Source organism: Homo sapiens, chromosome 18 (genome assembly GCF_000001405.40).
Source record: "Homo sapiens chromosome 18, GRCh38.p14 Primary Assembly".
Classification (NCBI taxonomy): Eukaryota; Metazoa; Chordata; class Mammalia; order Primates; family Hominidae; genus Homo; species Homo sapiens.
This window is the reverse complement of record NC_000018.10, coordinates 26,995,417-27,020,591: the sequence shown is the minus strand read 5'-3', so window position 1 is coordinate 27,020,591 and position 25,175 is coordinate 26,995,417. Positions and strand designations below refer to the sequence as shown.

The following is a 25,175-nucleotide window of genomic DNA, read 5'->3' as shown; positions in this document are numbered from 1 at the left end:
AGATCTTTGGAGATAATGAATATAAACATCTCCCATGAATAACATTTGAAACATCTGGAAAAACCTATCCAATTGGACAAAATTCCAGGCACCTGTGAAAAGACAGCTCCAAAGACTCATTAGGGGTTGAGAGACCGAGAGTATTTTCTTCTCTCTTCTCAGCCTTGGCTCCCAAAGCCCACTCTTCTGTGACTTCCAACATGAATCACGTGAAATTCACTTCCAAGCACCTTGCTTCCTGTACATTTCTTTCGGTCCACTGTGGTAACCTGCTAATGTGGAGATTGCCCCATGGCACATTACTACCCTCAACCCCACAGGTGGGACTTCCCTACACAGCATGAACCACACTGAAGTGCAGCCCTGCCTTTCCCAGGGTAGGAAGCACCAAGTAATGTGTCTCCTAATATGGTTTCAGACAGGGTACTCTCTCCCATTCTACAAATGCACATCAGTCCTTTCTCCAAGGTGCTTTAATCTCCTAGTGTCATGCCAGACACCCACCCCCGCCAGTGCCCTCTACAACTCCCATTTTATTTCTGCCTGGTTTGTACCCAGTTGCCTGCTCAAGAAAGCAACTCACCACTCATTAAAAACAAATGCAAAGACAAGCATCTATTCATTTTATTTCTTTGACCCTAATTACACCCTCCTTATATTTCCTCCTGTAATCAACATGTCTCCCATTTCTGGGTTCTTTGTGTATGTTCTTTTTCACTCTTGTTTCTATCCTTTACATATCTCACAGATTTTAGTAATCCTTGGAATATGGTCTTTTAGTTTATTTCCCACTTAGAACACAAGACTCACATCCATTCAGTGGCAAAGCCAACATTAGGGAAAGGTGTACAGTGGCATGTCATTAACATGTTTTTCTCTCTTTTTTTTTTTTTTTTTTTTTTGCCATGTAGTGAAACAGTGGTCAATTTGGACCAGTTCTGTGCGTCCTTGACGGCAAGAATATAACCCAGACTAGCATCTCCGATTTGGAGATCTCGATATAGTTCAAAGCAGAATCTAAAACTTGACTCTTCTGACTCTGACTCCTTTACGTCTCTAGGCCTCCATTTACAGGAACTGAAAGAAAATGCTTTTCCTCTATTTTGTAAGTGGAGAGTAATTCAACATCATTTCTTAGGGTCATTGAACTGAGAAATGTTCCTTGGAATTTCATGAAGAATATCTTGAGGCAGGGTTTATGTACCAGCAAAAGGATACACATATTCAAGGATAATACCTTTTTACATATTGATAGCATACTCTCTCTCGGAGTAGAGGGCTGCTTTTGTGCCAAACTGCAGTGCCGTGTGATTTTAAAGCTAGAGTTAATCCTTGCAGGCTACTGTGGGTCCACAAACCGGCACTTGGTGCCCTAGAGCTTTGCATTTGGTAGGCATGTTCTCCTGGGCACGGGTCCTGAAATGGACTATTGTTTACCTATACTCAGTGTCTTTGCCCTCATTTGGCAAAGGGAGGGAGGTACATCGTATTCACAAGCACTGCAGATTGCGGAGATACAGTTCCCAAACATAGGTCAAGACTCCAGCCCAGCACAGGGCGTGGCTCAGGGTATTTTCTGGGGCACACATTGCTAGCTCCTCTGCACTCAGTTTCTCCGGAGAATGAGACAAATTGAGAAGAAGGTGCTATGGTGTTAGAATCAAGGGTGTGGTTGTCACGAAGGTTAGAGGGTAAAGAGGGCCGGTACCCATCTCATAAGTGTCCATATCTGGCAGGCCCATTCTCCTGCTCTCTCTCCTGCTTGCCTGGGGGCATGTTTCCCACCGTCAGCCTGAACATTCTTTTCTGTAAATCCAGGATTACCAAAGTTGGTAGGAAAGGATAGTTAGAGACTTTTCTGCAGCCTTCCTAAGCTTTTGTGAGAATTAAGCCTTACAAATCTTATAAGAATTGATGAACATGATGATATTTTTTAAAATTCAGCATAAATCTTCAGATTTGTAGCCTAACAATCTCAACTGAAAAGCCCTTATCCTGCAGGGGAAAGAAAAAGTACTGTTTGCCAGCCTTATCTACTGTCAGACCAAGCCTCGATTTTCCAACAGTTTGTACCTTCTGCACACACTGGGGCTGTCCTTCTCACATGTATAAAAATAAACTGTGAAGTTGTTGGGTTTTTTTCTTTTGTAGGGAAAGGGCTGTATATGATTATTCTTGTATGAAAATAATTAGCAAAGAAAAAGTGGCACCCTGCAGTTAATTTAGCTATTCTCTTAAATATTTTCCTGGTACCAGAATTACATGAACATAATATTCTAATAAGCTGATCAGCAAGTATTTTTCTCCTTCTCATTGAGGTTCGGAGTAATCTAAAGGGTCAAGGTTTTCAATCTTTTTCTCTTGCATTAAAATGATCTGTCATTTCCATCATGACAACACTCAAAAGTCAATTTTTGGGGCCTTGTTAAAGTGCCCCATAGAATAATTCAGCGGTGATGGAGATGGAGCTCTTCTCAAAGTGTAACTACTCCCCTTGCTGGCATAGTGTGGCAATGACATTCATCTCTGAAATTTTAATCTTGATTCTGGACAAGGCTTTTTGGTTTTGGTTTTTGTAATTCTTTATGTTTTTGAACTTCACAATAAATTGAGGCTTAATCTAAGGAAACTGGATGCATTAATGTTGTCATCATACTTGATAAACTAAGTTGATAAATTTATAAAATACAAGAATTCTAAAAATGTTTCACATGCCTAGAAAGTAGGGAAATATTCCAAACAGTGTTCAGTAATACAATTTTAAACAAAATAATAGAATCTCTTAATTTTAAAATTGATGTATAATTTGCAATAAAATGCCCAGATCTTAAGTATTCTCTCAATCCAGTAAGTTTTGAGAATTAGATACACCTGTGTACCAGCCACCCAAAATAAGGTATTGAATCCCACACCCTAAATAGTTTTCTCTTTGCCCTTTCCAGTCAATTCCAATTCAAAACCTCATCACCTACCTCCCTACCCTTCTTCTACCTTCTCTCTACCTCCCAGGAAACCACTTCTTACATATTTCACCATAGTTTAGTTTGGCCTATTCTTGGACTTAATATAAATGGAATCACACAGCATGTACTTTGTAAAGGCCCCTTTCACATGCCGTAATAATTTTGAGATTGTTGCATATATCAGTCATTCACTCCTTTTTTATTGATGTGTGATATTCTACTGTATGACTACATTACAAATTACTTATCCATTATCTTGTTTTTGACATTTGGATTGTTTCTAGTTTGAGGCTATTATGAATAGGACTGCTATGGACATTTTTGCACAGATCTGTTTGTGAATATGATGTTCTTTGACTTATGATGGGGTTATGTCCCAAGAAGCCCATCATAAGTCAGAAATATCGTTATGTTGAAAATGCATTTAATATCCCAATAATTTGTGATTAACCGTAAATTTTCCAGTGTCTCCTTGGTTTACTCTCTTTTTTCTGAGAAATATAAAGTAGAAATAGAAATTTGAGTGTTTTGAAAATTGTCAGGCTTGAAGTACTAGAAAAACTCAGTGTGAGGTTTGAATGTCCCATGTATGATAATGACTTTAGATAATGATCTTTATATCACAAGTGATTTTATAGCATTATTCACTGTCTTTCAGCAAGGACTTCAGTTCCAGGGAGGCAGAACATATGATTTCTGTTCTTTATCCTCACCTTTGCAGTGAGAGGATGATGGCAAATTATGAAACTCTCCTAATAATATTATGTATTGCATACAGTGATTCAATACTGTAAATCAGTATTTAAATAAAGTCTTTAATATCATATGTGCATACTATATCTGTCATCATAGATGTATACATACACACAACTATAGAAAGAGAGATTGATGTAAGTATAGATATATAAAACATCCTCATCACCTTTATTAAGATAATGTTCTAACACAACCTAGAGCTTAGGAAAGCTCTAACACTATTTCCTTTGATTAGTGTTTATTGACCCATATTGTGCTAGGCGCTGGATATACAGTGGTGAGCAAACGTCCAGGTACCTGACCTCCGGGAGCTTACTGTCTGAGGGGAGAGTTAATCAAGTAAACAAACGTACAGTTTTTGATTTTGTGAGATTTTCTGCAGGGAAGCAACAGAGTGCTATAAAGACAGGAACAGGGGCCTGCCTGTGCAGGTGGCATCTAATCACAGACTTGGATCAAGGGGGATCCAGCCATGTAACCAGTGGAGAAGAGCACTCTGTGCAGGAAAAGCAGCAAAGATGAAATCCTTAGGCAGGTAAAAGCCACGTGTTCTAGGCCAAGGTAACAGGAGAGGAGAGAAACGGGTAGAGTGAGGTAGGAAAGAGGCGGTGGTGAGCATGCTGGTTATGCTCAGGGGTGATAGCAAGGCAGACTGCTCTGCCTTTCAGCAGCTTATAAGCCAAGCCACACTCCTTACAAAAGAAGCATGAGGTGTATATAGCCATAATAAGCCAAAATTAATGCTTTTGTTTAGAGTGCCCAAAAAGTAACTTACATTTATAAGTGGTGACTGATAGCCCATGGCTGGGATGAGCAGGGTCAGAATTCTCAAGACAGGAGGTCTGTAGAATAGTGAGACAGAAAGGGGGATGCTCACCAAGTGGGTTTGAATTTAGGATCCACATCAGGTACATGTGCATGCATATACTGAAGAAGTTTGTAGAAGGCCACGTGTCACAAGATTAGGCTGAAGCAAAGTCTTGAAATTATATCCAGGACTTAGATTGAGACCTTGCGAGGGACCCAAATCTCACAGACACCATCAATCTGAGGCAGGTAATATGGATTGCAGAGAAACAAGAAGCAGAGAATTCTACTAAAAAGGGTTTTAAAGAATTCATAGAAATGATGCAGAGTGATAAAGGAAAAGAAGGCCTGAAACCATGTGTGGAATCCTCTACCCTTTGGTCAGCCTAGTCTATTGGAGTATAGAAGCCCCTACATAACCCTCTCTGTGACTTTTGAATTTTTCAAGCCATTATTTCCTGCTATTAGGAAGTATGTACACATATGCTAGCACGTATCCCTCCACACAGAGTCGCCAGGAGAGGCAGGGGTCTGTGTGACTGGATGCTCCCAACAAGACTGGGGGCAGGCAGATGGATGAGCTGGGTGCAGAGTTCAAAGTCAGTGTCCCCTCCTTGATTCCACGCCCTACACTGGCCAGGCAGCATTTGCTTTCCTCTTCTCAGGTCCCTTCCCCTCACACTCTCCGAAGGATGCGTAGTGCCTGCACACACACACACACACACACACACACACACACACAACTGCCTCTCTGGTGATCATTTAAACTTCGGAAAATAAAAAGTATGTTTCTTTACACTGAAAAATTGGAGAAATGTGCCAGGATGTCTAATCATGGGGCATGAAATTCCAGGCCGTTGAGCTTGCAGCACAGCCAGAATGCACCAGCTACAAGAATATCTTAGCAGAAAACTCTAGGAATTTTAATACTTCTTTTTTGAGCTTTGGGATCACATTAGATATCTGCAAATGACCATAACTAAAACCTAGTTTTAGGAAGAGGCTCAAATGGAAACAAGTATTCATGAAGTAAATCATTAACTTCATAGGTGGAGTCAAAAGACTAAAAATGTAGAAATGAATGAGTAAGGAATGCAGGGCAGAGTCCTTGGTGACCCCCACTAAGGATTGATAAAGAAATAAGCAAAAAAGAGACAATAGAAAAGAGAGAGACCCTAAAAGAATGACAAAAACTGGGAAAGCAAAAAAAGAAGAGTATCACAGAAATAAAGGTCAAGAAAATGTCTAGAATGTGTTGTGAATAGTGTTTACTACAATTGAGAAATCTACCAGATGTAAACCAGAAAAATTCCCCCTTTTCTGGGGGAATGTGTACACAGAAAATATTTTTCAATCAATCACTGTTCAATTTAAATGTTTTTTTTCAGGAGGTGGACTTTATTTCTTATATAAATCCTCCAGTTTTTGATTCGCTGCTTTCAAAATCCAGAAGTAAATCTGTAGTTAAGCTTGGCTGTTTTCTAATGGAGCAGTTTGAGGGGCTCTTACAATATAAAATATATGTTTGTTGAGTTAGTTGCAAAAACATTCGTTTTAACAGATCTGTAATTCTTTTTTTTTTTTTTTTTTTTTTTTTTTTTTTTTTTTTTTTGAGACAGAGTCTCGCTCTGTCGCCCAGGCTGGAGTGCAGTGGCGGGATCTCGGCTCACTGCAAGCTCCGCCTCCCGGGTTCACGCCATTCTCCTGCCTCAGCCTCAGATCTGTAATTCTTTAAAAGGTTTTCCATTCATTGTATTAGATATTTTTTCATACCTCCTGAGGCTAAATTCAGCTAGTTGATATCAACATGGAATTGGAACATAGGAGCATAGAACTAATTTACTCATTTGACTTTTAAATTAGTTTTGTGTGTGTGTGTGTTAACTAAAATTGAAATGTTTCGATTATGAGTAATGCCAAGATGAACTGGTACACTCCATTGACTTTAATGAAGTGCACATGTTCTTGTAGGCTTGTGAATGAGGGCCTGGTTGCAGAGTTCTTGAATCTTGTTATTTAATATTTGTTGCACTCACATATTTTATTTATGATAATACCACAATCATAGCTTTTTAATTTCATTAATACAATTGAACTTAAATTTTATTTACCAACTTTTCCAAAGGTTTGATGTTACCAAAGGTGTGCCCAACCTACTTTTACATAAAAGAAAGAGTTGGCAATCAATTTATTAAATTCAAATTAGTTTACATTTTCTACATTAATATTATTTGAAAGGCACTGTGTCAAGACATTAATTTTCAAGAAATAAATGATCATCTAGGAAATTCTAGGTAATTAGAACTTTAAAATGAAATTTTTGATTTTCTGTGACATAACAAAATGTGTATAATAAGTTAAATACAAAACAACACCTGCTGCTAATATATGCAAAAGAGAGAAGCAACTAGGGAAATTCTCAATAATGATATTAATTGCACAGTACCTTGAGTAAGGCTCTTTGCTAATTTTTTTAAGTCAAGGAGCCCTTTCTTGAATTAAATCTTTAGAAGTTGTTAGAAGAGTAAAATATGCTCAGATACTCATAAGTGTATTTGAATTTCATGTCATGGATCAGGGCCTCGGGCTCAAGCTTTGGCTTTCTTGTTTGTTTAATTATTTTTCCTAATTTTTTCATGCCAAATGATCAATCAAATTATAAAAGAATATTTAAATTAACAACTGTTCACTCAATAGTAGAAAGGTAAATAACATAATAATTCATGAATCTGCCAATGTTGTGCGTAAAGGGCTCTGAAATGGACAGTATATTCAGCGCGTGTAACATGCTCTGAAAACTAGCTATTGCTATTACATGCACAGACTTGGCAAATATTATGCACCACACAAGTTCATGGAATGAGAAACTATGGATACCACTTCACTTGTTGCTATTGGATACACTGCATGTGTCATGAAAGTCATTACTAGTTGAATCATATAATCCTTTATTTCATAAATGACAGAGTTTGAGTGGCCCTACCCAAGCTCATACAGTAATGAAAGAATTAGATCTGGAAGGCAGGACTCCACTGCACCAGTTTGACAGAGGTATATGACAGAGGTGACACTGTACACTACAGGGGTAGCCTAACATTTTGCACACTGTTAGGCCACAGTATGTAAAATTAGATCCTATGTACAGTGTATTAAATTAGATATAATTTAATATCCAGTTTCATAGTTTACATTTGTTGACAGATGGCCACTAGCTATAATTTTTAGCCGCATGTCCAAAACTATTGAGAATTAAATTGACTTATAATTACTGTACCTTTTGTTTTATTTTGGACTCTGAACTTGGAAATATATCACCTGGAGTAGAGTTCTAAGTTCACTACATCCTGTCTGTGTGATTTGGGAAAACTTGTTCTACCTTGCTGAACTGCAGGCATTTGTCTTTTTTGTTTGTTTGTTTATAGTTTCCATTTCCATGCCAAAGTGCTCTGTAAACTGTAAGGAACTACAGTTAACCCTGGGAACAACATGGGTTTAAACTGTATGGATCCAATTATATGTGAATTTTCCTCTGCCTCGTCCACCCCTGAGATAGCAAGACCAACTCCTTCTCTTCCTCTCCTCCTCTACCTATTCAATGTGAAGACAAGGATGAAGATCTTTATGAGATCCACTTCCACTTAATGAATAGTGAACATATTTTCTCTTTCTTATGATTTTCTTAAAAATATTTTCTTTTCTCTAGCTTACTTTATTGCAAAAATACAGTATATAACATATATAACATTAAAATATATGTTAATCGACTACATTATCAGTAAGGCTTTTAGTCTACGATAGGCTATCAGTAGTTAAATTTTGGGGGAGTCAAAAGTTATACTCAGATTTTTGATGGCACAGGGGGGTTGGCTCCCCCCTAAACCCTGTATTGTTCAAGGGTCAACAGTACATAAATTATAATTAACAAATAGGAATGTACTTATGTATTTGTCAGTTTATGGACTTGGGAGCATACTAGTGGCATCAGAGTCTGGGCAGATGCACGCCTCCCCTTTCCCCAGTATCATGTAGAAAGGCTTGCATGGACCAAAGCACAACTAGATACATGTGGGCCTGTGCACCAAAAGAGGAGGAGCTTGCTTCCATGTTGCAAAGGGCAAAGGCAAAGGTGGTCTTGACAGTAGAAGGCAAGCAATCTAAACTTCGGATCCAGTGTGCAGGGAATTGTCAGGAATCACCAGTGGCCAGCACCTGCTGGCCTTGTGGGAACTCTCCTGAAGAGGAGAAACTGGGAAGCAGAAGCCGTGAGTCTAGCTCATTGCCTGGCACTCTAGAGAGAAGCCCAGCTCACTCACTGGTATATTCCAGTCTCCTTGAGACTGAGAGTTTGGAACCTTGTTAAGTAAAATAAATAGATACAATAGACAGCTGAGCAATTCAAGTTCAAAGGCTCCCTGAACTTATTTCTATGGTCTTCTCTTAAAAGATCTCCCCTTTTCAATTTCCACCCGTTCTGGGTAGCCACTCTAGTTTCCTGGTGGGATTTCCTCATTCTAGCAGCCTTCATTCTGCTAACCCTGACTTGGCCCCTCAACAAGTGATTTACTGCATGGTGCTGCTCTTGTCTGTTTTTTTCCCCAGCCTGAGAATGGCTCAAAGTTTTCTTCATGGGGCCCTGGCTCTTCTATTCTGCCTGGGCGGCATCCCTTACCTTCCGCTCACGGCCCTGCACTCAGGGCATTGGTGTGCCTGATTCTATGAACTGTTTGAAGCTTGTCTGTTTACACCAATGAGCACTCTCTGCTCTGTTAAAATAATTCCTGCCTTCACCAAGAGAAAATGAAAGCCACTTCAGTGGTGTTTTATTATAGAAATTTAAATAAATTAATGCATATGATTATAGGCTTGCTATTTTGTCATTCTTTTTTGACTTTATTACTACATTGTCCAGGCCAGACTTCCATGTCACTAATTACCCAAAAAGACCCAGAGATAAATCTTCCTGTGGCTTCAAGTCCTCCTTATTGTTAATCTCCATGCCAGGGCTTCTCAAGCTTGGCTGCATATCAGAAATCACCAGGAGCCTTTACAATATCTGAATACCTGGCCCCACCCCAAGAGCCCTGGCCTCAGCAGACCTGTCACTCCTCAGCCACTGCCTACCAGAGGCTGGTGGTCTGCTGAGTGTATTCACCGCCCTCTCTTTCCTTTCCCCACCCATCTGCCCTTGAGACAGCTCATGGCCATAATTCCTGCAAGTGACTATAGCTTCTGCAGCTGGTGTCCTGAGCCCCTTAGAAACAGTCCCGATCAGGAAATTCCCAATCAGATATCAAGATGGGGCTTCCCATCATCCCTTGAGACATTTCTGCTGATGCCAAAATACACAGTAATGATAGGTACTAATTCTTGAGTACGATGAGAGATGGGAACTCTCTCTCGTTCAATCCTCAGATCAACTCTATATCAATGACATTATTATCTTCATGTTGTATATGAGAAACCCAAGGTTCAGAGCAGTTTCGTTCCTCATCCACAGCCCCACAGGAAGTAGAGGAGGAGTTAGGATACAAGTTCGAGGCTGTAGGGCAGCAGACCTCACACTCCTCCCATTGCACTTGCCCTGTCTCTGTCCTGGTGGAACATCAGATCACTTGAGTTGACTGTAAGACAACAACTGTCTTGATTTCACCCTGACAATTACTTCAAGTCATGTAATATTCATGTGTGGCCAATGACTTACAGTAGACAAGAACACAGGGAGAGGAGGCTGTTTTTTTCATATGTCACTAAAATTGTAATAGTCTAAAAGAAGGAAGTCGAAGTGAGAAAAAAACATAGACCATGAGAGTGACCTCCCTTAAGTCCCCAGGGCTAAAAGTTAAGAATATGAGATCTCCCTTTCAGCTGTCAAGTATCATTTTGTGATCTTAAATAAATTTACTTCATATGAAAAAAATACGTATCTTCAGACATGTTATAAAGGAGAATGATTCTGAGTATGATACAATTATATTTAAGTAAAGAACCTAGTAGAATTAGAAATATTGCAGTCTAAGACTTATAAGCCTTCACAGAAAACTGAGGTTAGAGGGTTAGATATAAGTGAAAACAATAAAACAAAAGTATTACCTTTTTACTTTTGCTGGTTTAATTTAGAAACTATGCCTTCTGGTTTTACCTCCAAGGCTCATGAAGTGTGTATTTCTGATGCAACCCCAAATAATTTACCATGGATATGATTCTACCAAAGGTAAAAGCAGAAGAAAAGAAAGTCATAAAGTGGATGAGAGGAAGGCTTCTTCACAGTTCAATAATGCCAAAGAACTCAGAAGCTTTGTTTCAGAAGATATGTTTTTTATTTAAAGTGTTTGATGGTACCCTTTTCAACAGAGCCACAGAATAATAAAAGCTTATTTAATTTAATTTTCCACTTCATTACTGCCCAAAGTACAGGACCAAGTGAAGGAATGCCCTCACAGATTGCATGCCATGTGTCAGAAATGTATTACCATACTTACTGGCATTACTTCACCCACCTATCTATAATATTTTAATTCTGAACTGAAAGAAGGGAAATTATACTAAGACCCAGATCTTAGCCTGATGATGACTTGGCAAATTCCATTAGTCCAAAGATCTGTGCTTATTTTTTTTAGTAAAGGATCATGAACAACGAATTCAAATTATCCAGCATTCATTAAGCAATAATGAGTGCAGAACACCATTCTAGAAAAATGAGCATGTAAATGCCTGGCCTCCTCCTAGGAAAGAGTTCTTTGTCATGTTCATAAAAACTCTAAGGTCATTATTTTACAGAATGGGCTCCTCAGGACACACACTTAACCATTGTAGGTTTTGTCATCCATAAAATAGAGTGTAGTCCAGGCTGGAGGGGAGATGAAACTGTCTCTACGATCCTTTTCAACATTAAAGACTTGAGATTCCATGACTGAATCCGAGTTACAGATTGTTACAAATTGCAACAAAATATTTAAGCAGAATCAACAGGACCCCCTTTCCTCTTTAAGTCCTTGATATACAGTGCAAAAACCCTACCTGAACTATAGAGGTATATTTCTATATGTGTGAGAGAGAAGAGCACAGGACGAGAGTGAGAGCACTCGCAAGTGATTCCTTTGGTTTTCAATTCTGAGTTTCAGTATTTTTGACAAAGGAAAGGAAAAAAAAAAAACAGAACAGAACAGAACCAAAAAAACAAGAACCTGCTGCAATCCTGTCTCAAGATTGAAGGGCCACTGAAGATTCAACTCTCCTGATGATGGCAGAAGAATGGAATGCCAGTATTCCAGAATACTTCTTGTGAGCCCAGCACTGTGGCAGGTGCTAAAGGAATAAGAAAGCAACCGAGATAGGTAGGGAAAAGAGATAGATACAAGAGGACAGGGGGAGCAGTTGAATGAACGACTGCCTCCTAGCCTCGCAAGGAACTCATTTAACACTTTATGCAATTTATTTTTCCTTTTTCCAATTAAGGATTGTCAACTTAAAGAAACATCTGCTCAATACACACTGTTTCAAAGCCAAAAGATATATTAAGTGGTGGAGAACTACAAACTAGAGAAAGAACTACATTTAAATTGATTGGTTTTAATATAGCATGCTTAGGAGGGACCAAGTATAAGAGGGGAGATAATGCTTTTCAGATTTATATGTGATATGCTATCATTTCTAACTACTTGATTGTTGTTATTAATACAAATGCTTAAAAGTACTGCTTGACCATGCTGAAATTACTTCTTTAGTTAGGTCAGTTCTCTGAAGTAACCATTCCATATCTCCCCTAGTTTGAAATTTAATCTCCCAACCCCATCTTCTTCTCCTCTTCAGTGGATGACTTTCATGTTCCAGAGAAGTTAATAGAAGGCACCTGCTGAGATCTATCTCTGATATCTTCACCAGATCTGTATACACCAATATGCTTTGCTCTCATTGTCTTCTCCTTCTCTCCTGTTACAAGGGAGGAGTGGACCCACCTCCTATCAGTGGTGAGTCGTCCCTCCTATGCTGTGGGTCCTGTCTCTCCGTGTCCTCCCATGAACCTCCCTGATGAGTGACTCACTTTCTCTTCTGGATCTTTAACCTCTTCTCTACTGGATGCTTTCTGTCAGCATTTGCAATGCTCTGTATTCTCCCCCACCAAAAAATAAATCAGTCAGTAAATGATCTTCCTGAATCCTGTATCCTTTTCCAGATACAGCTCTTTTCCTTAGCCATGCATTTCAGAAGAGTTATCTATACCCTTTCCTGTCCCCCCAGACCCTATTTTCTCCATGTTCACCCCAGTCTGGCTCTGTCCCAGCCACTCCACTGATTTGCACTTGCGAATGGTTGATCTCCATGCTGTTAAATTCAGAGGACACTTTATTGTCCATCTGACATGACCTGTCCTAATCTTATTATCCTCTCCTTCTAGAAAAATAGGATTCCCCCTTCCCTTTCTGACTGTTCCTTTTCCATCCCTTTGAGTTTTGTTCTTCTATTGGAATTTTACTCACTGGATTATTCTTGGCTTGGCCTTTTGCTTTTTAATCTATCCTCTTTCCCTCCTACAGTGATTATATCTGCTCTTGTAAGCCAATGTCTCTTCTTCACTTGCTTATCTTCAGAACATGAGAGCCACGTAACCACCTGCCTATTGATATGCCATTAGTGCTACCTGCCTCACCCCTGGCCCTCTTCCAAAATCTCTCAGTTCAGTAAGTGTCACCTCCTTGCTACTGCTGGAAACTTAGGACTGGACACTTTCCCTCTTCTTTAGTCTGCATTTTCAATTAAGGGCTATCTATCAATTTTACCTCCAAAACATATATTGTGCTGTCTGTGTCTTTCTCTCTCAGCCACCATCTCTCACTGACTATGGAAACAGGAGACAGCCATTTTATTAAATAGTTGTAATTGAAAGGGATACTTAAGCAGAAAATGTCATAAAGAGGTAGCATTGTCAACTATTCATATTTTAGTGAATCCACACTTCAGTGGGTTTCTCCACCATGGAGACTTTGATACCAGAGTGGGGATTGCGCCTGTTGAATGTGGAATTTTAGGAGCTTGAAGTAAGCTCCACGGAATGCCCACACACGCATATACACGCACACACACATGCACGTACACATGCTCACATACACACAAGGGGGACTGGAATACGGAAAGCATAATATGTGCTCTCTCCTGCTTTCATGCTGTGTTTGATATTGCCATGACAGGATCACCATCTCTGCCCATTCACCAGTGTCTAGTTTACCTGCACCAAGGCTGTTCAAATGACCCGGCTTTGCTGGCTTTGACTCAATCTATCTCAGGGAGATTGGACTTTTCTCTGCAGTTTTTATGTGACAGGTTGAACCGAAATAACATCTAAAAATTGCAGCAATCCCAGAAAGACTGAGAAGCAATCACATAAATCATTTGAATCTGGAATGGTGGAGGAGGCAAGCAAATGTAGTACAAAAAGAGCTGCAACTGCAGACGGGAAATGGGCTTTAGAAACAAACGATTGTTCCAGCTATCTAGGACACTATGAGGATAAACAACTAATGATCTCTGACATCTCAACCACACTTGAAATCAAGTGAATGGAAATTAAATAATTAAACAGGCCAAACAGCATTATAATAAAAATTTATATGGCAGGGAAAACTATTATAGATTCAGTTCATGACCCACACATTGCTGGAGGTTTTCAGAACAATCAAAGTACTTATTTGTATCAAGTTCATTGGAATTGGTGGACTTCTTTCTATGAATATAGCATACCCTCTCCACACCCAGTGTATAAATTTTAGAGAGCTCTGAAAATAGATTCATCATTGGGCACTTGATGCTGACCAAATAAATAAATAAATAAAATTAATAAAGCCTAGAGCAGTGGACCTCCTCTCTTAGGGCACAGACTGAGATCTATTTTTCTGATTACATCAGAGAGAAAATTCCAGTGGCATACCGATCGTTTTAACTTCATGCTAATCAGTTTTCCTTTTAACTAGCTCTGTAAAAAGGTGATGGAAGTAAGACTATGGTGGTACAGGGAGTGCAAGTGAGAAAAAACACAAATATTTGAAGCTAAAAATTCTGAATAAAGAATTAGAAGTGAGTCTCCTTATGCAGCTATGGGAATATAAATATAATAGACCTAGATTCTCATTCAAAATCAGTTACTAGCCCAGTAGTACCTAACTTTGTTTCCATCCCAGAAGTGGCTAAGAAATTCAACATGCTTACATCAATATTAGTGGCTCAGGGACTGCAAGGGCAGAACTGTTCAAATCTTAAGCTTCTCCTGCCCCTAGTGGAAGAAGAAGGTTCGTAGCTAGGAAGAGCTTCCCCCTCACCTCCAGCAGATGTTGATGCCTCCCCTGGAGACTTGCCCCTTCCCCCATGGAAACCAATTGATATAACCCCTCTGTGCCTCAGTTTCCTCATCAATAAAATGAGGAAAATATATTCCAGGATCTTTTAATGTGTAAAACAATATACAAAGAGAAGTTATAATATCTCCTATTTGCATGTTTAAATTCATAGACAATTTGCTAAATATGGTACACCAGAACTGGATTTGTTGAATGTTCTAGTTAAGCTCTTGAGTACTCAGGATCTAAAGAGAATCTAAAAATAGCATCGATTTGAAGTAAATATCATCCCCACTCTATTTAAAGGTCATTGTGACTCTGCTTCAAAGTATTAAGATCGGTTCCACCAAATTTTAAAGAGAGAAGAAAAGACCCAAGGTTGGCCTCTATAAATTATTGGGCTGAGCATTTTAATAACTATCATTTATTAAGTCCTAAATATATGCAGAGATGCTGCTAAAAGCTTGACATGTAATATCTCATTTAATCCCTACAATAATCTTTTTATTATTAGTAGTAGTATTCCCATTTTACAGACATAAAACTGAGGCTCAAAGAAATTACATAATATGCCCATATCACACGAGTCGCTAAATCAGTATTTAAGCCTTAACATTTATTCTTGCAGTGTCTATGTTTCATGCTAGAATTATAGGAATATCAGAAGTGATCAGGAGAAATCATAACTGGAAAAGTATAGCCTGTCATTCTTCATGTCTGTGCTGCTATTTTGTTGTTTCACAAACTGAATTAAAAGAAACGATGTCAGGAATCTGAGTCTTCATATAACTTAACAGAGGAGAAGGGAATGTGACTACTCACAGTCCAAATAGTTTATTTTGTTAATAGTGTAATTTGGAGAGGCCTGATTTTATTCTAAGGGACTGTGAATTTTTCCAATTATAAATTAATTCATAAAGAAAAACAGTAATTTATTATGGTGTCCTAGACCTGCTCAAGAAACCCTCCTTTCTGCCTAATTAAAATAAATTGATCGAAAGTTGGATTGTTTGTCCCTACGACAGCCACATTTGTACTACGAAAAGGGAAACCGTTAGAACAAAATTACTGTGAAAGAGATTTTGAAATTGGACCTTGTCACTAGGGGGCACTTAGGGATATAAAATCAGCATTGCCAAAAGTACTTTCTGAAATAAAACAATTAGTAGCATATGTCTTTCCAAGAGAGGGAAAAAATACATTTATCGACATAAGGATTCAGCACCTCTCTTGATGGATTATTGTTAGGTGCCAAATGGGTTAGAGAAAAAGGACCATTAAAAGTGGGCACAATTTTGAAGTGAGAAATCTTATCTTTTCTCTGCCTCTGCCTTTTACCACTGGAAGCACAAATGTGTTGTTAAGGAAAGAAATATAATAATAAAAAAAAAAAAGACAGAAAAGAAAAGCCTAGCAAAACGCCCCCGCCCTGCTTGATTCTTTTCATTGCTTTCTTGTGGCCTCTTTCTCTCTGGCCTTTTCCCTCCTTAATCCTCGCCTGAGGAAATTCTCCTTCCCTCTGTTGCTCGCAGTAATTTGCTCTTCCTTTTTACAAGCCTATCTTTCATTCTGTTCTTCCTCCCATTATGCCTGGTTGTGTTCTTCCACTTTACTGTTCTTCTCTGCTTTCATTAGGTGTGAGACTGAGTTCTGGTTTTGGTTTTTATCTCTGTTTTGTGAGTACTTTTTTTTTTTCCAGACACTCATATTCCTATTTCCATAAGAAATCAATAAAATGTGTTTCCAGGCTCTGTTTTACCTAAACGTGATGGTAATAGATAACATGTTATCTGAGGCTAGAGGAGAATAGTTTCTCACACTGATCAAGTAAATGGGGAGAAAAATTGGAGCAAATAACACATTCTTACATTACAGTCTTTTATAGGAAACAATCAAGCAGAAAAACATATTTCATGGTGTATATACAAGACTAAGCCCGTAGATTGAAAAGTGAAAAGTATAGCAAAAAAACTCCCAAAAGCTTGTTTTTGTCCATGTGATACCCAAAAACCAATTTAATTCATTTTCTTTTCCAAATCCACCATTTCTTTTGGCTGTCATGTGCAGGTGTTGTAAAGTACAAAAAAATCACCAAGTGCTATATGTGAGGAATATCAGATGTCTCAGCAACACCTTATAGGAGAAATGGAAGACCTTCAATTGCCCTACTCCTTAGTGTGAGGGGGAAAAAATCTTTCTATATTATACACCCTATCTGCGGAAATTACCCTGCAGTTATAATTAAGAAAATAATTGCAAGTACAATTTACCAGGTCCATGCCCATTATTTCATCCTGTAAATTGAAACAAAGAAAACTTCGCTGCACTTCACCCAGCGACCTAGTTTGTGAGCTTTGGGCTAACCTCCCATGAGTGGTAGATCTAGGTCTTCTTGAATAATGAAATGGTGGTCTGGGACTGGGAATCATGAATATGATTCCTTGTTCCCCTGACTCGCCATGTGGTCATGGGAAAGTCTACACATCATCAGTTTTTCTGGTAGGAAAATGATTAGGATAATTATTATGCAGATTACTCTAGAGCTTTGATTTCAATAAGCCACTCTTAGCACCTCACTCTGCCCTCAACCTTTAAATAAACTTTTCATTCACGCAAACAACAAATGTTATTTCCAATGCCAGTTTTCACACAATTATTATTTTAAAATTATTTTCAGGATACTGTTAACTTTTTTAAATTTATGTAGCGCTAGGTCAAATTATAAGATTTCTATCTAGTTAGCCAACCCATGTGGTTGAGTTACAATGTACAGATAAATTAATTTTAATTTCAGTTTTTTAACTTAGTAAAAGATTTTCATCTTTTCACATTTCTGCCATTAACATTTCCTCCCACTTGAAACTACTCTGCTGACCTAACTTCACAATTTATGTGTTTATTCACACAGTCATTACTTTAACATTGCATAATTTCTTAACATTTTTCCTAGGAAGATAGAATATTTGCTTTTCTGTGAACTGTAATCCACAGATGCTCCTCATCTTATTATAGGGTTACATTTCATTAAACTCATCATAAATTGAGGACATCATAAATTGAAAATGCATTTAATACACCTAACCTACCTAACATCATAGCTTAGCCTAGCCTACAAAACACTTACATTAGCCTACAGTTAGGCAAAATCATCTAACACAAAGCCTATTTCACAATTACGTGTTGAATATCTCATGTAATTTTTTGAATAATTTACTGAAGTGAAAAACAGAATGGTTACATGAGTACTCAAAAGTACAATTTCTGCTGAATGGATATAGCTTTTGCACCACTGTAAAACTGAAAAATCATAAGCTGATCCATCATAAGTCAAGGACATAGGTCTGTATTGCATTTCTATATTGCATTTACTTCCTGGTTTCTAGGAATATCAAGATGATCCATGTTGGCAAAGAGCTCAGTTTTTGTTGCAGGAGGCTACATAATGCAATAAAGGAAATAGCAAGGCTATTGTAGCCTTCCAAGTGAGCAATGAATTAAAAAAAAAAAAATTAAGGATGGTGCAGGCCTCCAGGTAGGATTCTGCAGTTTGTGCACTGCAGGGTGAATGGGGGCTGAAAGCTCACTTACATTGTTTCTCAAGCTGTGGGTCCTGGCCCAGTACTGAATTAGCCTAAAGGAAGGAGTGACTCTTTCTCATTCATCCACCCAAAGGATGTGCCTTTTTTTTTTTACTTTGTCAATCTTGAGTGGGCATTTCTTTAAAAAATTGTCTTTCTGCAGGGGCAGCATTTTGAAATTCACAAAATGTTCTGTATATGCTTGGCCCTGAGTTTAGAGGTTAGGTTGTTATCTCATAATTCCACTGTTCCCTCTGCCTTTCCCCCATCTTCCTGGTAAATGTCTTCTGTTCCGTGGGTGTTTCTGATTCTATGCCATTCCTCACCTGAGTGTGCCAATCCACAACCCATGTTTGTGTTGACATTTTACCCAGTCCAAACTTCTGTCATAAGTAGTCTTATCTGAAATGAGATCCTCAATAACTAAGTTCTGTCCTATCCCTCCTGCCCTCCCACCCTCCCACCATGCATTCTGAGGTCTCTGAGGAAGGGTGTGCCCAGCAAACAGAATCAGGAGGGCATAGTCTTTTTTTAATAATGCCTTTACTCCAAGCCCCATGAAGTCTCTGCAAGACAAAGTTAGAGGCAGGCCAACTAGCCTCCAACCTAGTTAAGCCATGAACCTTCTTTTCTCTCTTAACTAGTTCCACATCCAAATCTCAGCTTGTCTTAAGAGTCTAAAAGTAAAAGCACTTCTAGGAAAGCAGTAAAAAATTGTTTGCAAAACAAACTTCTTTATACTTTTGCTAATGCTTCACCCAAATACATTCTTGGACTAGATGCAGCATCTCAGCCCTCCTTGGGCATGGAATGTGAGCAGCCGAGGGTCATGCCTCTTTTCCAAGGGAATAGAATTATTTCTCTTCCTCCTCTTAATCTACCAAGTTTAATGTCCAGTCCTAGAGTCAGTCTGGCTTTTTATTATTCCCTTAGAGAAGATCAGTGCATAATCTACTTATATGCACACACATCATCACCTCCTACATTATGTTTTGTATCCTCCTCATTTTTCAAAGACCCTGTTTATAAATCTACTCTCCCTGTAAAGTTTTTCCAATTCCCCTAGGGAGTTAGTTGCTTCTATCTCTGTGCCTTCTGATGGTAATCTGTTCACATGCTTTATAACCTTTGGGGGCACTGATCTCCAATGTGGGTTGCTCATATCCCAAGGGGTATGCAAGATCATCTACTAGGGAGAAATGATTAGAACTTCCGTTTGTTCTAAGAGCAAAGTAGATGTGATTAGACAATTCAGAGATGGGGGGGTGAATCTTGAGAGCATGGTTAGCTATATACACAACTTTGGAAACCCACATGGGTATCTGTAATGTGATCCCTCCAGGGATGTGGTAGGAGGGAGTTGGAGATGTCATTTGTGTGTATTCTTTATCTTTTTAAATCTCTATTTTAGGGGAAAGGTAAATTTTATGAGATCAAAATATTCTACCATGGTGGTATATGATAAAGGATGGTTGGATAGATAGAATAATAGATAGATAGAGAGATAGATAGATAGATAGATAGATAGATAGATAGACAAAACAAATAAATGATGGAGAGAAAGTGCTGTACAATGAAAAAGGCTTTAAGACTGTTTCTGTAGGCTGTGGACTGCTAGGCTAGGGCTTCATCTTATGTTTCCACGTCACATATCACTTGCCCGACAAATTAATTTTGAAAGAATAGATATATTATTTTAGATTCTCTACATTTGAGTTAGCTGAAAGCAAGGCATACCTGGACTAAAATTTTGATAAGTCCCTTCGTAAGTGAACACCTTTGCCACTTAACTCATCTTGTTATTCTTGAAAGACTATTCTATGTCTATAGTTTTTTCTTGCTGAAGTTGCTAAAGCCCTCAAACGTCCAACAAATCTAGAGTTCTGTATGTGGAAACTAAGAGCAAAGCAGATGTGGTTAGACAATTCAGAGGTCTGGGGTGAATCTAGGAGCATGGTTAGCTATCTGCACAACTTTGAAAACCGGGGTGGATATCTGTAATGTGATCCTACCAGGGATGGGGTAAGAGGTAGTTGGAGATATCATTTAGAATCTGTTCCCCAAAATGAAAAAAGACAGCCTAGGTCTCTGTATTTACAAGCATGTTACTGAGTTGAATGTGCACATCATCAAGCTGCTTTTCTGTTGCATTTTTATTACGTGGTTCTCTTGTATTTAAGGGGTTTCCCCTCCTATTTTAAGAAATGTGCTTTATAACCAGCTACTAAATAGTTGGCTTTGCATCATTACACACTGTCCCACTTAACGTCTAAGTACCCAACTAAACTGATTGTATGTATTTGTTGTTTTTATTTTTATTTTATCCATAGACTTCCCTTAATATTTAGATAATAATAACTTTACTACTACCAACTCTGTTATATTTTATACATTACAATACTTAAAAATCCCTGAAAGGTAGGTAATTTGGACCTCATTTGTTAGAATTTAGAAAGTTAAAGAGAAAAATATAACTTTCTCAGGATATACAAAATTATATAATATAGTGAAATTCTTTTTCTTTCACCAATTTTTTTATATAAACTTTTAAATGTTTGTTCTATTTAAATTTAAAATTAAATATTGAGTTTCATCTTACAAAACATGTAATTACTTTTGGAAATGCATTTTATGAGACCTAGTAAAGTCAATATCAATGATATGGACTAAAAATCATTATCATGCTTGGAACACAAGTTTTTAGAGCACACTGCATCAGTGATGCTATGTACTTTGAAAAATGAATTATAGCATTATGGACTACATCCTTCCAGAATTGATTTTGAAAATCCAAAGTTGAGTATTTTAGAAGCTATAGTTTAATAGGAATTGAACAGCAAATAGTATTTTTATTTTTAAAAAGTAATAAAAATGATTTCAGAAAGTTGTCACAGTCATATTTATTACCTGCTCCATGGCTCTGAACCATAAATCGACAGCCATATCTGAAGTGTAAGCAAATACTGTTTCATATAAATGTAGTATAAGCATTTTCAAAGCTTGTTGCACAATCTCATTATTGTGATCTGTTATTGCTTTTCTTCCCAAGAGAAAGGCTGTCCATCCTAATTTAGTACTGAATAAGTGATTTTTATTATGTTCTCCCAAGTGAAAAGTAGCTCCAATTCTTTCAACTGAAATGATAACCAGAATGACTTAAAAGGAAATGGGGCTGGGGAATTGTGGAACCTCCTGCTACCCAGAGAAAAACCCATCGGTGCCATGGACAACGCACCTCACTGTCCCCTGAGGGAAAGAGCGTGGCCTCAAAGGTCCTTCCCGGATGCTGCCACATGATAGCCAGAGACTGCCAGCATTGACAGGAAATTCTTTCCCATTTGGTATGAATGAAAAAGAACAGTAAGACATAATAGTCTATCTGGATTTCTTTTTTTCTTTCTTTCTTTTTTTTTTTTTTTTGTTGTTGTTGTTTTGTTTTGTTTTGAGACAGAGTCTCACTGTGTCACCCAGGCTGGTGCAATTTCAGCTCACTGCAGCTTCCGCCTCCCAGGTTCAAGTGATTCTCCTGCCTCAGCCTCCCAAGTAGCTGGGATTACAAGCACACACCACCACACCCAGCTAATTTTTGTATCTCTAGCAGAGACAGGGTTTCGCCATGTTGGCCAGGCTGCTCTCGAACTCTTGACCTCAAGTGATCCTCCCACCTCAGCCTCCCAAAGTGCTGGGATTATAGGCATGAGCCATCGCACCCAGCCCAATCTGGATATGTTTATACTCTCATTAATACTTTTATTTCTTTATTTCATCTTTCATATTATTTATTCTCCTTGTCCATTCATTGATTATCAAAAATTTTTAAATATCTGTTTAGTGTCTATCTCAGTATCAGATCCTGGGATTGCAGAGGCATGGGATTTGTTCCCTCAAAGGGGATACAGGAGTGCAAACCAGTGAGTGAGATCCAGCGATATAGGTGCCACAATAAAATACGAGCAGGGTGCCAGGAGGGCACAACGGAGAGAGCTAAGTCAGACTGTGGGGAGTGTGGAAGAGCTCCATGCCCATCACCCTGTGCTGTGTCTCAAAAGATGAGAAGCTGTTCTTCAGCTGGGATTTGGTGTTGGGCCCTTCAGCAACAGCTGGCTAGGACTGTTGACACTGCTCCTCCTGTTGATTACAGAACAAAAAAAGATGCAAAATTACTAGCTATGCAGAATGGGAATTCAAAATAAAAATAACGCTTCTTCATAGTTCCACATCATATGCTGTGGTTTAGAACTGTGTGCTTTGTGGCAAAAATTAATGGCAGAGAGTATATGTAAATGGCCCTATGCAGGCCCTGACTAGAGGCCTGTGGCAGAAATTTATATTAGGCCCGAAAAATCATGGTTCAGCCTTATTCCCAGGCCTTGAAGACAGTGATATTACCCAAAATGTCTTGTTAGGTAGTATAGTAAAGTGGTTATGTGCTATTATAAAGGGAAAGTGATTCGCAGTTGGAGATTAATTTTGAGTGCTATTCTAGGGTGATGTCGTGGAATGGCCACCAAGCTACAAGATCACATTTATCTTAACCCTTTCCTTATCAAAAGTTTCCAACTCCATTTGCAGAACTCTTTCCCATGGCATTATTGTCTAAGATGCATGTCAAGACATACCTTTTACATGAAGCTTAGCTAGAAATCTTGCATTGTGCAGATAAATCTCATCACTACATAGTGGTTTCTCCTCTAATTCCATGCCATGAGATCCTCTTCAATGAGATTATGTAAGAAGAAGTAACCAAACCCCCACAGATGGCTTAGAAAGATGGATTACATTATACTAATTGTGTTTATAATGGATAATATAGATATTACTGGAGCATTTTATTTTATAGCTCAGGATTATACTACTAATAATAACACTTTCTCTACTTAGAATTTTGTTTGCAGTTATATGCTGGAGAATTACTTATTTTAAGAAAGTTGTTCCACCTTTCTGCATGATCACCAACATTTATTGATTAATAGCTGTGTGTGGATCCTAAGCACTCTATAGCCCTGTCAGTAACATCTGCTGTTATTCCCTTTTAAAGATGCAAAGGTGGAATTCACAGAATGAAACAACATACCTACGTAGCTAGCAAGTGGTAAAGCAAAATTGGAACTCAGGAGGTCAGAATTCCAGACCCATGCTATGACTCATTGTGCTAAGATGTTTAAAATACTAACAAAAAATACTGCATATTTTTCTGATAGTTGTGGGACATGTGTTTAAAATACAAAGGATTATTGCTGACGATAGAGGAAATATGGCCCAAATCAAATTTTCTACTGCTTTTCTCTGACAAGCAGCATAGAGTCAAATTAAGAGATTAGGCATAGTTTAGGTACCTGTATATACACATAGATATAGCATCTGATGTTAGATTACACACATACATGCACACAGCCATGCATTTCACATACATGCACACTGTGGAGGGACAAGAGAGTATTTTGGACAGTAATCCAAGGCAGTACTTTAACTAGAGTCTGTATCCTCAGGCCTGTCTGAAAATTATGAAACTGCCCATTCTCTAACATCCTTTGGGGCAGGTATCCGCCTTCCTGCCTTGCAGCCTCTCCAGCCAATGGAGTTTGGTTTTGTCCTATATAGAAGCACTGCTACCCTAACTGTTAACCAATGATTATAAAAGCACGGAAGAAGAGGCCTTTCCTCTCCCTCATATCCTGCATGTACCACACACTTTTAAACAACCAGATCTCTGAAGAACTCACTCACTATCATGAGGACAGCACCGAGCCATTCATGAGGGATCCGCTCCCATGACCCAAACACCTCCTACCAGGCCCCACCTCCAACGTTGAGGGTTACCTTTCAACGTGGGATTTGGAGGGGACAAAACATCCAAACTATATCAGTGTGTCTAAAGCCTTCCAATTAAAAAAAATGTTGCTGACTTAGAATCATGTTTACAGGGTATAAGTTGTAAGAGCAGAAGTACAAAGAATGAGAGTGTAAGAATGGTGCATGACGGACTACCCTGGGTATCACCCAGGCCTGCCCACATCATCTTGGATGGACAGGGCAGGTGCCTGAGCACCATGAGAAACAAATCATGATGGACTCAGATATTGGACCAGACCCATTCCTGGCTTATAAGACATGTAAGCAACGAGTAAAGAATCTGGCTCTATCATCCAGACGGGCATTTCATATTAACTATATAATTTCTTATTGCTGACACTATTAATTTTGTAATTCTTGAACTTTTAGCTCTCTCTTAAGAGGGAAACTAAAATTGCAGCTGATTTATTTTCAAAATTCAGCCTAAACTAAATTATTATAGAACGAAAATGTAAATCAATTACATTAAGATACACAATAAGCAATTTTGCTTTAATAATAGACAAAGCAAAGCAGTCTTTCTTTTCAGGTTTGTTATTGTGTTGAAAACTTTCATCCTAGGTTTTTCATCTCAATTTATAAGTGTTAATGAAAGTTTTCTGAAACTGATTTTTGAAAACACTTGCTTATTTTTCATGTATCCCAAGCTACAGCTTGAAAAGGAAAATTTGGACTGACATTTGCAGGCTAAGCTTGTATTAGTTATCAACTGCTGCATAACAAATTATGTCAACATTTAGCAGCTGAAAACAGCAGCAGTCTATTATTCCACGGTTTCTGTGGGTCGGGAATCCAGCCAGCTTAGCTAGAAAGTTTTACCTTGGGGTTTTCCTCAAGGCTGCAGTAATCTTTTTTTTTTTTTTTTTTTTGAGACGGAGTCTCGCTCTGTC

General features: G+C 38.4%; 1 protein-coding gene and 1 long non-coding RNA gene across 5 annotated transcripts in view; one reads left to right on the top strand and one right to left on the bottom strand.

The window, feature by feature from the left end:
* CHST9 (carbohydrate sulfotransferase 9) overlaps window positions 1–25,175 on the top strand; it is a 278,828-nt gene that overhangs the window by 164,717 nt on the left and 88,936 nt on the right. The gene's annotated exons all lie outside the window — the stretch shown is intronic.
* The window catches only part of LOC124904275 (uncharacterized), a 29,076-nt gene continuing 25,134 nt past the window's right edge, over window positions 21,234–25,175 (bottom strand). Inside the window, exon 2 of the long non-coding RNA XR_007066323.1 lies at window positions 21,234–22,560. This is a non-coding gene — a long non-coding RNA (uncharacterized LOC124904275). The remainder of the gene's footprint in view (window positions 22,561–25,175) is intronic.